The sequence below is a fragment of the Homo sapiens genome, chromosome 1, assembly GCF_000001405.40.
Source record: "Homo sapiens chromosome 1, GRCh38.p14 Primary Assembly".
Taxonomy (NCBI): Eukaryota; Metazoa; Chordata; class Mammalia; order Primates; family Hominidae; genus Homo; species Homo sapiens.
The window spans coordinates 69,931,926-69,948,362 of NC_000001.11; the positions used below are offsets into that span (position 1 = coordinate 69,931,926).

The following is a 16,437-nucleotide window of genomic DNA, read 5'->3' on the forward strand; positions in this document are numbered from 1 at the left end:
AGACTTGATTAAATGCAAAGACCGTACCTTGAAAACCTGCTTTGGAGGCTTCTTGGTGCCATTGCATGAGAGAAGTAAGTCACCAATGGCATTCTGGTTCTTACTATATTGAAAGCGTCTTTCTAGTGAACCCATATTACTACTTCACTGCTGGCAAGACTGGCAGAATTCTGCCTTCTCCTTTTGAGCATCCATTTTGTTTAAAATTTGCCTGAAGACCAAAATCTCAGATGCAAATCAGAAAGCATATACTTCTTTACAAGACGGCTCAGCTTTCTCTATTCAGAAGTCTTCCACTTGAATATCTCAAATTTCAAAAAATTCAATTCATCTAAAGTGTATTTTAATTATTTTAAAATTAAAAGATTTAAGTAAGCAATCCATTCCCTGTCCCAGGTCTGTTACTAGCTATGTGACTTTGTGCAAGTTGCATAACCTCTTTTCGCCTTATTTTCCTCGTGTATAAAATAGGGATTATAATGTTCTCTCTTACACAGGGCTTGTGTGAGAATTAAATGAGATAATGTATGTACAGGACCTAGCAAAATTTATTCTAATAAATGCCAGTGTGCAAGGGTGAAAGGGTTTAACTCACACTGTATTTTGAATGCACAAAGAAAATTAATTTGTTTTACTTCAACCATAGCTAATCTGATCATTACCCCAGCCTCCATCAGTTGTTTATTAAGGATGAAAACTGAGTTTTATTCTTCTGTGATTAAGTTTAATATGATTTAAGAAGTTAGATAGTCCCTTTAGGTTGTTTTCATCTTTCTTGCATAAAAATTGCTAGTCTCTCATGTTCCTCTCTCCATCCCCTGCTTTCCTCCCTAAGATGGAATTTGGGTATGTGCAGAGGAGGCTAAATTTCTTTGTGACCTGGGCAATAAGGACTCTCTGGCCTCAAGCTAGTTTTCAGAAGTAGGTTGGCAGCATATGCTGGTCTCTGGGCTGCTGTCTGCAGCTGATGCTGCGTCCTGTTAAATCGTCAGTTCTGAATCCACAGTCAGGTCTGCGGGCTCAGATAAAACTCTCTAGGAGCATTGGCCATCTTCCTCTTTGGGCATTGCTATACTCAGCTCTCACTGGCTGTAAATGAATGAGACTGTGCCCTGTCCTCCCTCCAGCACAGGATGAGCAGTCCATCCCCAGTTTGTGTTGTGATGGGCCCTCACCAGCCATGACCTCAGTAGTGGCCCCATGGCCTGTCTGCTGGCTCTGAGAGTCCACATAACATACAAACTGAGAGACACCAAGTAAAGCTGAATTCCAGAGACTTCTTTGCCTGTCAGATTACACTGTCAAATTTACTCTGCTTTGGATATACCTAGTGTTGTTACAAAGCAGTTTGCAGGGTGGCCTCAACACAGATATTAAGGCAAGAGTACCTCATAAATACATAGCTTAATGCACCTCAGGAATTTTTAAAGGAGATATTTATTAACGTAGGTAGAGAGTTTAGTGGGGGTGGTAAATAACAGATAGTGGCAAAACTAGTAGTTTTATACTTATTGTTTTAAAAATAAGTTGTTAAAGACCTAAGATCTGCCCACACATTTATTAAGACATGTAGGTCAGCCTAATAATTGAAAAACATGGAGGGTACCTTTGGGTCTATAGCTCACTCTCTAACTTCAACTTCCTTATCAATACAGTAAGGGCATCAGTCTTCTCTATCTTATAGGCTTTTTGAGAGAATTTCATGCAAGATAATCTACAACAAATATTCAGTATGTTAAATGAATTTCAATTCTGTCAGGTATATTATTCTGCAAGTGCTTCATATGAATATGTGTGAATCGGTATTTTACTGTAAAGATTTGGGTCAACAATGATGAAAAGGGTGGGTTTATTTTTCAAAACTAGTTGTACTAAAAGTAAATTTTAAATTATTTTAATAATGTATGATTTATGGTATCTAAGAAATCCTACGAGCAGAAATAACTTTTATTTTGTGTTATGCCAGTATTTCATGCCAGGCACAAAATAAGTCTCTTTTTCTATTTTCTTACTTTTGCATTTGTTCTAAGAGGTTTTATTTGGTAGTGCTTAAGTATTTGAAGAGTATAACTGTGGAACTTTACATTTCTGATGTTACTCACTTTTAATCATAGTTTGACTATTACTAGTCATATGCATGGAACTGGCTGTTGTTGTAACAGTAACAACTTTGAATGAGAAAATAAGAGATTTTGCTCTGATAAGAGACCTCTAGAAACAATGTCATGTGGAGGAGAGGAGATCAAATTCTATTCTGTAGCTAGATATTGACACCGTAGGAGATTATCATTAGATGATTTATTTTTGCATGACATGGTAAAGAGACAATGTGGAGAGTAGATGACTATAATTTTAAAAATAAAATGTGAAGGCCTAATGAGAACAGAAGTTGGCTTGCTTGAGAAGCAATGTAAATGTCCCAAATAAGATTCAGAGTAGAAATATCTACTTATAGAAGCATTTGTAATAATGAAAAATTCTAAACAAAGGGAATTATTTTATATTTTTAATAGCAATTATCCCCAGAATATATTGAACAAAGTTCTGAGAACATAATAGATATTTTGGCGGGGGGGGGGCGGGGGGTGGGGGGTTTTGTTGTTTCTTTCATGAATTGTTTTGCTCAACATAAGATGAATAAATGTTCATTTTTAAAAAAATAGAAAGTTAAAAAGTGAAAAAATGAGAGTAAGGATCATTCATGATCTCATCCTATATATAACCATTATTAATATTTTTTGGTATATTCTTCCCTTTACTCTCATTTTCTTTAATGAAGTCAAACAAGTATTATTTGGGGCCAGGTCAGAGATGGAACACTATTAGGCTGATGTATGGAACCAGATAACATTAACCCTTAGGATCATCCTCTTTGCTGACCATGGCCAACCCTCCCCCTAGTCTAGACCCAGCTTCCAGCTGCAAGCCTCCTTCACTGCCTCTCTCCTCCCCTCCCTGTGCTGGAAAAAAGAGGGCTGTTCTATAAAGGAGAGTGTCACTTAAGGCCCCAACAACTCTACCATGGGAGCCTTCATCAGAAGAGTCAGTTATAAGAAGCAAAACGTGCTTTTTTGTAAGCCAGAAAGAAAGAAGAGCCCAGCCCAGAGGAGACTAACAAACTGAGTGAGAAGTAGTCTATATGTGGTTTAGAGTTCGGGAATTCAAAGAAAGCAGCATGGGTAGGGACCCACTGACCCACAGTGGCAATGGGTAGCAGGGAAGGAAGGCAGGGAGTACAATGGTTATTGGAGCAGCATCTCCCCTTATGTGAAATTCCCTTGTCTTTGCCCCCACCAAACCCCTACAAAGGACTCCTAAAAAGAATAACTGGGGAGGACTATTTCAAGAAGGACCTAATTTCCTTATCCTGTGCTATTCAAGCAGGTAGTGCTTGAATAGATTTAAAATTTTGCTATAAGTATGGCATAATACATACTGGTTATATGTGTCTGCACAGATATTTCTACCTACCAAATTGGAATTATAATGTGCATTCTATTTTATTTTAAAGCATGGTTATCAAATTCGAAATCTAGATTCCTTATAGGCATTGTAATATATAACCTTTCTTTGTAGCTAAACTAGAAAGACTGCCAAATAATGGATACAAAATAAACACTAAATTAAGTTGTCTATCCCTGATTTCTAATGAGATTGATGATTTTTTCATATGTTTGTGGCAATTTGTGTTTCCTGTTTTGTGAAATGCCGGTTTATGTATTTTTGCTCATTTTTCTATTGGTAGTCATTTTCTTGTTGATTTATGGAGATCTTTGATATATTTCACATACTAATCCTTTGTTGTCTGTAGGTACTACAATTATTTCTTTTCAGTCTCTGGAGAGTCTTTTTATTTTCTACCTGGTATATTTTGATGGATAGAAGGTCTTAATTATAAAATAAGAAAATGTATAGTTTTTTGTGGGTAGCACATTTTCTGTTTTGCTTAAGAAGTCCTTCCCTCCTCAAAGCCAAAACGTGTTTTTCATATGTTTTCTTCTAAACGTTTGAAGGTTTAATTTTTTCATAATCAAATTCATTTCTGTGGGGGGCTTAATTATTTATACTGTGTACTGTGTATTTTTTTTCCAGAGACTCAGCTTTCCAAGCACCATTTATTAAGTAGCATTTCCTTTCCACATGGATATGAGTATCACCTCTTAACAAAATATGATTTCTGTACATTCATGAGTTACTTTCCTTATTTTCTAGGTACAAAAACTACATGATTGTAATTAGCACAAACAATAAATTTTGACAGTGGATAGGGCAAGTGTCTCAAACTTAGGCATCTGGACATTTACTTTTTGTATGCATTTAGAATTAGTTGATCAAGTTTCTCAAAAAGAAAAAATGTTAGGACTTGATTACAACGGCATTGACCCTATAACTCAATTTTTTATTGGAACGATAATAAAGAGTTGACATTTCTATCATATCAAACCTTTTTAGGCATCAACATGACATACATCTTCATTTATTTTCTATTTTAATATCTGAGTTTTATAATTTTCTTCAGAAAAAGATTTCACACATTTTTAATTAATTTGTTCCTAAGTACATTATTTTTAAATTGTAGTTATAAATGTACTTCTTCAAAAATTATAGTTTCCAGTTGCTTGTTGCAGGTTTTTATTTTTTCTTCCAAATTTATTTAAGGTTCAGGTGGTGCATGTGCAGGTTTGTTACATGGATAAATTGCATGTCACTGGGGTTTGGTGTACAAATGATTTCATCACCCAGGTAGTGAGCGTAGTACCTGACAGGTAGTTTTTCAATCTTCACCCTCCTCCTACCCTCCACCTTCAGGTAGGACCCCAGTATCTATTATTTCACTCTTTGTGTCCCTGTGTGCTCAATGTTTAGCTCCCACTTATAAGTGAGAGCATGTGGTATTTGGTTTTCTGTTCCTGCATTAATTTGCTTGAGTTAATGGCCTCCAGCTGCATCCATGTTGTTGCAAAGGAGATGATTTAGTTCTTTTTTAACACTGCGTAGTATACCATGGTGAATATGTACCATGTTTTCTTTATCCAGTCCACCATTGATAGGCATCTAGATTGATGCTATGTCCTGGCTATCATGAAAAGTTATTGCAGGTTTTTTTTACTTATATCTAGCTATCTGCTAAACCCTCTTAATAAAATGAATAATTTGTTTATAAATTATTTAGGGATTTCTATGTAACTAATCAAATAGCCTGTGAATAATCACAGTTTGTTTTCTTGCACCTCAATTTTTAAACACTATTTCTTTCTCTTGCTTTATGTGTGACTAGTACTATGTTGAAGTGAAGCAACTATCATTGTCTGATTCCTGATTTTAATGGGAACACCTATAATGTTTTGTCATTAATAATTGCTTTACCATTAGCTTTGTATAGATATTCTTTATCAGGTTCATAACATCCCTTCCTGCTTCTAGATTACTAAGAAAATTTAGCATGAACAAGTACTAAATTCTATGGGCTGTTTTGTCTGCATTTATTGATATTCCATTTTTTCTCTTTTATTCTGTTAATACAAAATTTCTAATGTAAAACCACTTTTGCATTTCTGAAATACATACATGGTTCATGATCTAATCATGATCATGATCTTCTATATAAACTATTTGGTTCATTCCTGCTTGGAATTTGTAAAAATCTGTACTCATTAGTGAGATTTGTATACATTATTCTTGCATACTTTATCTGTAGGTTCATATTACTCATCAATTTTGGAAAATTATCAGCCCTGTCTCTTTAAATGTTTCCTTTTACCTATTTGCTCTGTCTCTTCTGCTGGAATTTGGATTAAATAGAAATATGAATATAAAATCATAAGTGCTTAGGAATCACTAGCTAATTTTATTAATTATTTTATATTTTCTTCTTGAAAAAGCAGTCAATCAGAGAAGAAGAATTTTAAAATATTTCTTTCATATCCTTAAAGAGAGGCTTTCTTACCTTTTTACATAAAATTATACGGTATTAATTTCCTCAGAACTTGGAGACTTGATGATGAGGTCATTTTGAGAGTGTTTTCACCTTTTTTTTAACTACTTAATGTACTCATTACTCACCAAGATATTTCTAAATTATAGGCTACTCAATTTCTGGATTAAAGAACAAAATATGATTTTAAAAACAAAACATTGAAATGATAGCAGCAAAAATATTTAAAGAGCAAGAAAAGTTATTCTATGTGAAAAAGAAAACAATATTTAATTTTTTAAACACAGTGTAAAGTTGGATTGAATTTAAAAGTTCAAAAATTCAGCAGGAAATAAGTAGTGTCATTTTAACTAACATTTGAAACAGTAAATCAAGCAGTCGTTATAAAAACATTTCATAAATTCAGCCATCCACAAACTATATTAGAAGACTTGTATTCTATAAAACTGCTTTATAGAAAAGCTTTAAAAAAATTCTGCACTCTACAAATCACCATTTTAAATGCTTAGTAAGGCTACAGATTATAATAAGGGAGAATTGTTAATCTCAATATTCAAATGGAATTTGTTTCTGTTGGCTTTACTCACTTTATTTCATAGAGTCAAACAAAAATTTCAAAGAAATGAATTAAAGAAAAATTCCTAGAATAGAGATATTCTGAGCGATACAGTTGACAAGAAATAGATGCTTTGGGCTAAATAAATGATATGAATGTGTTTTCATAGAAATTTGAGACAGTCGAGTACTTATGCTAATGTTTTCATTATAACTAAAATTGACTAGAATTAAATTAAACTCATTTTACTAAAAGCATGGCAGCCAATAGTCTCACCTCCCTAGTTCACCAAAGGTGTGCTCATTTTTAATTACCTAAAATGCATGTATACCTGAGGCAAGCACTATATTTACATAGCCAGTAATTTCCTTATAAGCAATTACAGCATAGGTTTGCCACACCTACTAATCAAATTGTATAATTTATTCTTCAAGTTGTACACACTTTTTAAAAAGAGCAAAATAATGAAGTACAATTTGTCATCACATAACTGGCCACCCAATTTTAAGGAAAATACTTGAAACATGCTAATTTACTCCTTCATTTTTCTGCATTTGTAAAGCCACTAAGGCTGTAGATTATATATATATATATATATCTATATATATATATATCTATATATATCTATATCTATCTCACAGACATTGCCAGAAGTTATTAATACATCAAAAGAAACTTGAAAAATGAAACTTATTTTTGAAGTTATTGGGAGTATGTCAATTTCTGTATCAATGAGAGTCCAGTCAGCAGGTGAAAACTATACTGATTATTTAACAAAGAAAGTTTAATAGAAAGATGGTTTATCGTGTATGAGAGAACTGAAGGAGCAAAGGGGGGACACTGAAAAAGGAAGTTTGAAAAGGTGAAATTGGGTCTTCGACTTCTAAGGAGGGGCCCCCACAGGCTAGTGCTGGTGTCTCTGACATGAAGAGGCTGATTCTAGTTATGTGGAAAAACTACACACTGGAAACACTTGCTGTTACTGAATTCTAGTGTCACCACAGTGAAGTATTGCTGAGGAAGTGCAAAGAGAAGCCAAACGTAAATAAAAAGAGCAAGTCCCTCTTCCTCCTCCAGCCCCTCCCCAGGACACTCAATTGTTAGAGCCTAACATGGAGCCACTTGTCAAAATGGCAGTGTGGCTAACCCCAGAATTACAAAGTAGAAATTAGAAGAGTTAGCTCACAGCTGAAAAGCTACTGTTTAATAACCAGCAAGTCGGTACTGTGTCCTGAAAACAATGGACAAGAGAAGTGTTGATTTTTGTGACTCCATTTTGACGTCATTTTCTCCAGAAAGTTTTCCTTGCACCTAGCAGAGTACCCAGCTCCCAACTGGTACTTGACGTTTGTAGAACAAATCATTTGATTTTAAAAGCAAACAGATCGATCAATTCTCATCATCAGAATCATGCCTATATAAATACAAATTTTTAACTCTAAACAATAGTAGAGGTAGAGAAAATACTTTAATTTGTCTGAAAAGCAATCATTCCATAGTTAGCTGTCTTTTGAAGCATCAATCCCAATTTACTTTGAGACATACTTCCAAATGAGTTTCTTGATGAAACTTTAAAGTACAAAATTTGAGATTGTGACCAATAAATACATACGCACAGGCAAATATGCATATGTACATAAATAAATAAATCTGCAGTCCCACTAACTCTGAAGTTTGAAAGGAATTCTTGAAGAATCATTCAATTAAAATGAACTTTCTGGCTGAAACTAATTACAGAGATACTTCTTTCAGAGGAGGATCAAATTGGGGTCTCCACTTTTATCAATGCAACATCTCTTGACCTATGGCTTTAATAAGCAGACTCCACTGTCATACATTGAAGTAAAGGAACTCCTTTTCTTGCTCTTGAATTTTCCCTTTGCTAGCAGTAAAATAAATCATCTTTGCTTCTGTTTTCCAAGGAAGCAGCTTTTCCCTCGTTGCCGTTTCTCATTAACAAAATATCATGACTGGGCACTATGAATGAAATTAATTAGCTCGGTTTGCGTTTCCATAAATGGATTTTTCTGAGAACGGCATGTATCTCCATGCAGTCAAATACCCTGGTGATTCTGTCAACGGTTTCTACCAGAGAAATTGAAGGGGGAATAATGTGTAAATTAATTAAAAGCTCCCTGATGGAACCAGAGTAAAGCATATTAAATAGGAGTTCAAATGTGTAATCAAGACTTTACAAAGAATCTCCCCCTGCAAAAATAAAAAAAATCAGACTTTACAAGGAAAATAAAAGTATTCTGCAAGCAAGGAGTAAACCCTATATATGATACCTATTCACAGCTCGAAAACATACTTGAGTTATGAATAGGAGTTGTAAATCACCCCAAAAAAACAAGAAAAATTATATTTAAAGTAATTCAAACTAAAATCTTCATTTATATGCTGAAATGGAAATATCTGGATGTATTGCCTAAAATCGAATTAATAGAAAACAAATGTTATTTGATTTCAGGTTTCACAACAAACCAAAACTAAAAGTAAAAACACTGAGGAGAAATATAAAGAAAGGAAAAGATGATATGGGGTGGGGAGATGTCATTGGTTAGTCTGGCTGGGTAAGCTTCAGTCTCAGAAGGTAGCATTTTAGTAAAAACTGAAAGGAGGTCAGGGAGTGAGCCATGCAAATATCTGGCTGGAAGATTGTTCTATGCAGCGGGAACAGCAAGTACCAACACCTGATATGAGACCAAGCCTGACCTGTGGACAGCAAGAAGCCCAGAAGGACGCAGTAGACCAAATGAGAAAAGTATTGGGAGATAAGTTAATTTGTGGAGTGGGAGAGAACCCTGTAAGACATTTTAAGGATTTAGGATTTTATTCTGAGTAAAATGGGAAGCTCTTTGGAAGGGTTTGAGCAAGTAGAACCTCGATCTAACTCACATCAAATTATGTTACTTTATATTACATTAGGTCATATTAATTAATTACATTATCAAGACCACTTTACTATGTTGAGAATAGACGGGTCAGGCAGTGTCAAGGTAGAGTCAGGGAAAACAGTTAGAAAGTTATTGCAGTAATCTAGGCAGGAAATATTAGCATGCTGGATTAGGGTAGTAGCAATGGAGGTGGTAAGAAACCAATTTCTGGGTAAATCTTTAAACTATAGCTAGAAGAAGATATGGTAGGATCTGAATTTTGTAAATTGAGGACACCTATCAAAAACTAATACAAAATTAGAAATACATAATTAGATACAAAAAAGAATGTTATTCAGAATAAAAAAAAGAAACTACAAATTTTAAATTACAAATAAAAATCATAAAATATAATTTTGAAAGCTGACAAAATGCCACAAACATCATAAAATCGTGGAAAATAACATAATAGCACACATCTATAATGCTTCCTTCCCCCTTACATTTTGGTTTCATGCTCTTTGACAGCCTTTCCATGTGACAAACATCGTGTAGTATTTTCTTTGGAGATTATAGAAAAACAATCCAGTCTTTCCTCTAACATGATTTTTAATATTGATAGTTTGGAAATGCTTACAATTTTCATTGATATGCCTTGCAGAATTTTAGGACTGTTGTCAAATTTGGGAAAACATTTGCCTCCATACATTCTAAACCTTCTTTTTCCTCCACCACCTACGTACTTATAGTGCCAGGAACCAAAGAACAGGTTTATGTCTCAATACATGCTCTGGCCCTGCACCTTCATGTCCTGATGGTCAGGTGAGTGGGCACAGTGGGCAGTAGGAGGATTTCCAGAAGCCATTTCTAAATAAAATGGCTAGCTAGCACAAGTTAAGTACACACAGAAATTATTGCAAATCATATAAACACATTCCACAAAACCCGTATGAAGGGTATCCCCATACAACTTCCTTTAAGCAAGCTCTGCAAAATGCCTGGGTCCATTCAATCACCATAGGACGTGATAGAAATTGCAACAGAGGGGAAGCAAAATAGAAATTCTAGTTAAAATATCTTACTTTTATCCAGAATTCCAGGCCTACATATATACCTGTGTTACTTTTCTATTTCTGAATGGTAACAAATTACCACAAATTCAGTGAATAAAGGCAATACAAAATTATTATCTTACAGTTCTGGGAGGTCAGAAGTCCTAAAATCCAGGTCTCATCAGGGCTGCACTCCTTCTAAAGGCACTAGAGGAGAATCCATTTCTTCTCTTTTCCCAGCTTCTAGAGGCCACTTGCATTCCTTACGTGGCCCCTTCCTCACATCGCCTTGATCTCTGCCTCTCTCATCACATTTTCTCTACCATCTCTGACCCCCTTGCCTCTCTCTTATAATGACATTTGTAATTACACTGGGCCCCCTCAGATAATCCAGGATAATCTCTCCATCTCAAGATCCCTAAATTAATCACATCTGTAATTTCTTTTACTATGTAAGGTAACATATTTATAGGTTCTTGGAATTAGGATGTGAACATCTTTGGGGTGTCATTATTCAGTCTACTACAAGTTTGTGCAGCCCTTGGCCTATGAGCCACCATGTAGCCCAGGACGGCTTTGAATGCAGACCAACACAAATTTGTAAACTATCTTAAAGCATTATGAGTTTTTTTGCGATTTTTTTTAGCTTATCAGCTATCATTAGTGTTAGTATATTTTTATATGTGGCCCAAGACAATTGTTTTTCTTCCAATGTGGCCCAGGGAAGCCAGAAGATTGGACAGCCCTAGTCTACTACAATACCCAAGAAAATTGAAAATGCTATGTTCACACAAAACTCATACATGAATATGCAAACCAACATTATTGATAATAGGCAAGAAGTGGAAACAATAGAAATGTCCATCACCTGTTGAATGGATGTGCATGATGTGGTATATCCATACAATGGAATAGTATTCAGCAACGAAAAAAAATGATTAAAGGTCCGATATGTGCTACAACGTGGTTAAACCTTGAAAACATTATGCCAACTAAAAGAAGCCAGAAACAAAAGGCCATGTGTTATATGATTTTACTTATATGAAATGTCTAAAATAGACAAATCCACAATGACAAACAGTAGATTGGTGCTTTCCAGGGTCCAGAGGGAGAGGAGAATGGGTATGGGTTTTTTGAGAAATGATGAAAATATACTGGAATTAGATAGTGGTGATGGTTGACAATTCTGTGAATATACTAAAAACCACTTAATTTTATACTCTAAAAGGGTGAATTTTATGACATATGAGTTATATTTCAATGTTTTAAATCTTATAAAATAAAACAATCTTACTTTTGCAAATATTCCAAAAACATATGGCCCAAGTGAACACTTTTCCAGGCTGCCTCCCAGGATCTAGAAAGGAATTCATGCAAATAGGGCTTTAAAGCTTAAGCTTCATTAACTTCAAGGTAAACCTGCCTCTAGGTAGAAGCAACAGGATTTGTTGACAGATCAGATATCAGGAATAAGAGGGAGAGTAGTTAAGTGTAACTTCAAGATTTGAGACCTAAGCAACTTAAAAAATGAAATTTCTAGTTCCAAATAGGAAACAATAAAAAATGAAAGTTTTTTTTTTCAGTTCTTATTTTTTATCATGGTAAACACACACACACACACACACACACACACACACACACACAACATGAGATTTACCCTCTTCTCAAATTTTTCAATAGCCATTTCATTATTGTGAACTACTAAGCACAATGTTGTGCAGCAGATCTCTAGAACTTTTCTATCTTCCATAACTGAAAACTTTTGCCCATTGAACTGCAACTCCCCATTTTCCTCTCCCCAGCCCCTGGAACCACCATTCTGCTTTCTGCTTCTATGGGTTTGACTTTTTCAGATATGTCGTTTCAGCAGAATCATGCAGTATTTACCTTTCTGTGACTGGCTTATTTCACTTACCAAAATATCTCCAAGGTTCATCCATGTTTCTACATGATAGGAATTTCTTCTTTCTTGAGGCCAAATCATATTTCATTACATATATATGCTACTCATCAGTTGATCCACTCATTCATCAATGGACATGTAAGACATTTATTTATTCATCCATCAGTGGACATTTGGGTCACTTATACATCCCAGCTATCGTTAATAATGCTGCAGTGAATACATAAGGACAAATTTTTTGAAGTCCCTATTTCAGTTCTTTTGGATAAGTATCCAAAAGCATGATTGCTGGATCATATAGTAGTTTTATTTTTAATTTTTTGAAGAAACTTCATATTGTTTTCCATAATGACAGCACCATTTTACGTTCCCACCAACAGTACATAAGAGTTCCAATTTCCCCCACATCCTTGCCAACACTTATTATTTTGGTTTTTTTTTCTTGATAATGTTCGTTATAACAACTGTGAGGTGATTTCTCATTGTGGTTTTGATTTGCATTTTCCTGATTATTACTGATGTTGAGCATTTTTTCTTATACCTGTGGGTTATTTGTATGTCTTTTTTTAAGAAATGACTCTTAAGGTTCCTTTCTGTTTTTTAACCAGGTTGTTTTACTATTATTGAGTCTTTTTAATTCCTCATATATTTTAGATATTGATCCCTTATCAGATATGTAGTTTGCAAATACTTTCTCCCATTCCATATGTTGTCTCTTCACTCTGTTGATTGTTTCCTTTGACTTGCAGAAGATTTAGTTTGCTGTAATCCCACTTGTCTATTTTTACTTCTTTTGTCTCTGCTTTTGGGTTATATCCAAAGAGTCTTTGCCAAGAACAACGCCAAGAAACTTTTTTCTGTATTTTCTTCTAGAAGTTTTACAGTTTCGGGACGTACATTACTTAAGTCTTCAACCCATTTTGAGTTGATTTTTGCATATGGGGTGGAATAATGGTCCAATTTCATACTTCAGCATATCCAACTTTCCCAAAAGTATTTATCAGAGACTATCCTTTCCCCATTGTGGTGCTGTTGACACCTTTATTGAAGATCAGTTCATTAGTATAAATGTGGTTTTATTTCTGGGCTCTCTGTTTTATTTCATTGGTCTATGTGTCTGTTCTCTGTGCCTGTACCATGCTGTTTCAATTACCATAACTTTTTAGTAGATTTTGAGATCAGATAGTATGATGCCTCTAGCTTTGTTCTTTTTGCTCAAGATTGCTTTGTCTATTTGTGAACTTTTGTGATTTCATGCTTGTTTTAGAATCATTTTTTATAATTCTGTGGAAAATGTTAGAATTTGTATGGGGATTGCATTAAATATGTAGATCACTTTGGGTAGTATGGGCATTATACCAATATTAATTCTTCCCATCCATGAATATAGGATATCTTTCCACTTATTTCTATCTTCTTCAATTTATTTCATCAACATTTTATAGTTTTCAGTGTACACATCTTTCACCTCTTTGGTTAAATTTATCCCTAAGTATTTTTTATGCTATGATAAATGGGATTTTCCTGATTTATTTTTGGACAGCTCATTTTTCTGTATAAAAACTCTATTAATTTTATGTTGATTTTGTATCCCACAACTTTACTGAATTTGTTTATTAGTTCTAATTTTAGTGGAACCTTTGGGGCTTTCCATATACAAGAGCATGTCATCTGTAAGCAGAGACATTTTACATCTCTTTTCTATTTGCATGCCTATTTCTTTTTCTTGCCTAATTTCTATGGCTAGGATTTCCGGTACTCTGTTGAACAAAACTGGTAACAGTGTGCATTCTTGTCTTGTTCCTGATGTTAGAAGAAAAGGTTATAGTTTTTCAGTGTCGAGCATGATGTTAGCTGTGGGCTTGTCGTGCATGACCTTTAGCATGTTGGGGTACATTTTTTCTATACTTAATTTGTTAAGAGTTTTTATCATGAAAAGGTGTTGAATTTTGTCAAATACTTTTTCTGCATCTAATAAGATGATCAGATTATTTTTATCCTTCATTCTGTTAATGTGGTGCATTTCAAATATTGATTTGCACATGTTGAACCATCCCTTTATTCCAGAGATAAATCCCACTTACAAATGTTCTGTGTGCACTTGAGAAAAATGTTTATTAAGCTGTCGTTGGGTGGAATATTCTGTACATGTCTGTTAAGTCCATTGGTATACAGGGTTTATCAAGTCCTGTTTTTTGGGTATTTTTTTTATTGATCTGGAATGTTCTAGCCATTGTTGAAAGTAGAATATTGAAGTCCCTTACTCATATTGTGTTGCTTTCTATTTCCTCCATCAATTCTGTCAACATTTGCATCATATATTTAGATATTCTGATATCGGGTTTGCATATATTTATAGTTGTTATAGCTTCTTGGTGAATGAACCCCTTTATCATTATATAATGTTCTTTATTTATTTTGACAGTTTTTAAAGTCTAATTTGTCCGATATAAATATTACCAGTCTTGATGTCTTCTCATTACCATTTGCATGGAATATCTTTTTTCATCCATTCACTTTCATCCTATGTATGCCTTTAAAGTGAGTAGGCCAGGCGCAGTGGCTCATGCCTGTAATCTCAGCACTTTGGGAGGCTGAGATGGGTGGATCACCTGAGGTTGGGAGTTCAAGACCAGCCTGGCCAACATGGTGAAACCCCATTTCTACTAAAACTACAAAACTTAGCCACTCGTGGTGGTGCACACCTGTAATCCCAGCTAATCTGGAGGCTGAGGCATGAGAATCACTTGAACCAGGGAAGCAGAGGTTGCAGTGAGCTGAGATCGCACCACTGCACTCCAGCTGAGGCAAGATCATGCCACTGCACTTCACCCTGAGCAACAGAGTGAGACTGTGTCTCAAAATAAATAAATAAATAAATAAATAAATAAATAAATAAATAAATCTAAAGTGAATCTCTTGTAGACAGCTTATAGTTGGGTCTTGTTATATATCTATTCAGTAACACTGTGTTGTCTCATTGGAGAGTTCAGTTCATTTACATTTAGAGTAATTACTGATGGAGAAGGACTTAGTATTGCCATTTTGTTAAGTATTTTATCCCTGTCTTATAACTTTTTTGTGTTATTTTTCTTCTCTTTCTGTTTTCCTTTGTGTTTCATTCATTCTTTATAGTTATTTGTTTTGACTCCTATTTCATTTTCTTTTGTGTATCATCAATAGGTATATTTTGGGCTTACCATAAGGTGCTTATAAAATATATTATAGTTATAACAATTTATTTTAAGCTGATAACAACTTAACTTCAATCATATACAAAAACTCTACACTTTTACATTTCCCCAAGTCCACTTCATGCTTTTGATGTCACAGCTCATATATTTTTATATTATATATCTATCAACTTATTTTTATAGTTATATTTATATACTGTTGCCTTTTCATTTCTGTACCAGGCTTAACAATGGTTTATGCACTACTACAATATTCCCCCTTTATCTGCAGAGGATATGCTTCAAAACCCACAACAGATGCCTGAAACTGTGGATAGTACCAAACCTATATATACTATTTTTTTTACATATACATACCTATGATAAAGTTTAATTTATAAATTAGGCACAATAAAAGACTAACAGCAATAACTAATAATAAAATAGAACAATTATAACAATATACTGTAAAAAAAAGTTATGCAAATGTGATCTCTCTCTCTCTCCCCCTCTTTCTCTCTCTCAAAATATCTTATTGTGGTATACTAACTCTTCTTGTGATCTGTCAACCTGATAACTGAGAAGGTTACTAGGTGACTAATCAGGTGGGTAGTGGGTACAGCATGAATACGTTGGACGAAGGGGTGACTCACATCCCAGGAGAGACAGAGCAGGACAGTGCGAGATTTCATCCTGCTACTCAGAACAGTGCACAATTTAAAACTTATAAATAGTTTGTTTCTGGAATTTTCCATTTAATATTTTCAGATTATGGTTGAACACTGGTAACTAAAACTATGGAAAATGAAACTGTGGATAAGCAGGAGATTATTACAGAATGACATACTATGTATTTGTTGATATGTTTACCTTTAACAGTAAGCTTTATACTTTCATATGCTTTTGTGTCACTGTTTACTGTCCTTTTGTTTCAACTTGAAG

General features: G+C 34.4%; 1 protein-coding gene across 6 annotated transcripts in view; it reads left to right on the forward strand.

Moving 5' to 3' along the window:
- The window catches only part of LRRC7 (leucine rich repeat containing 7), a 576,443-nt gene that overhangs the window by 364,004 nt on the left and 196,002 nt on the right, over positions 1-16,437 (forward strand). The gene's annotated exons all lie outside the window — the stretch shown is intronic.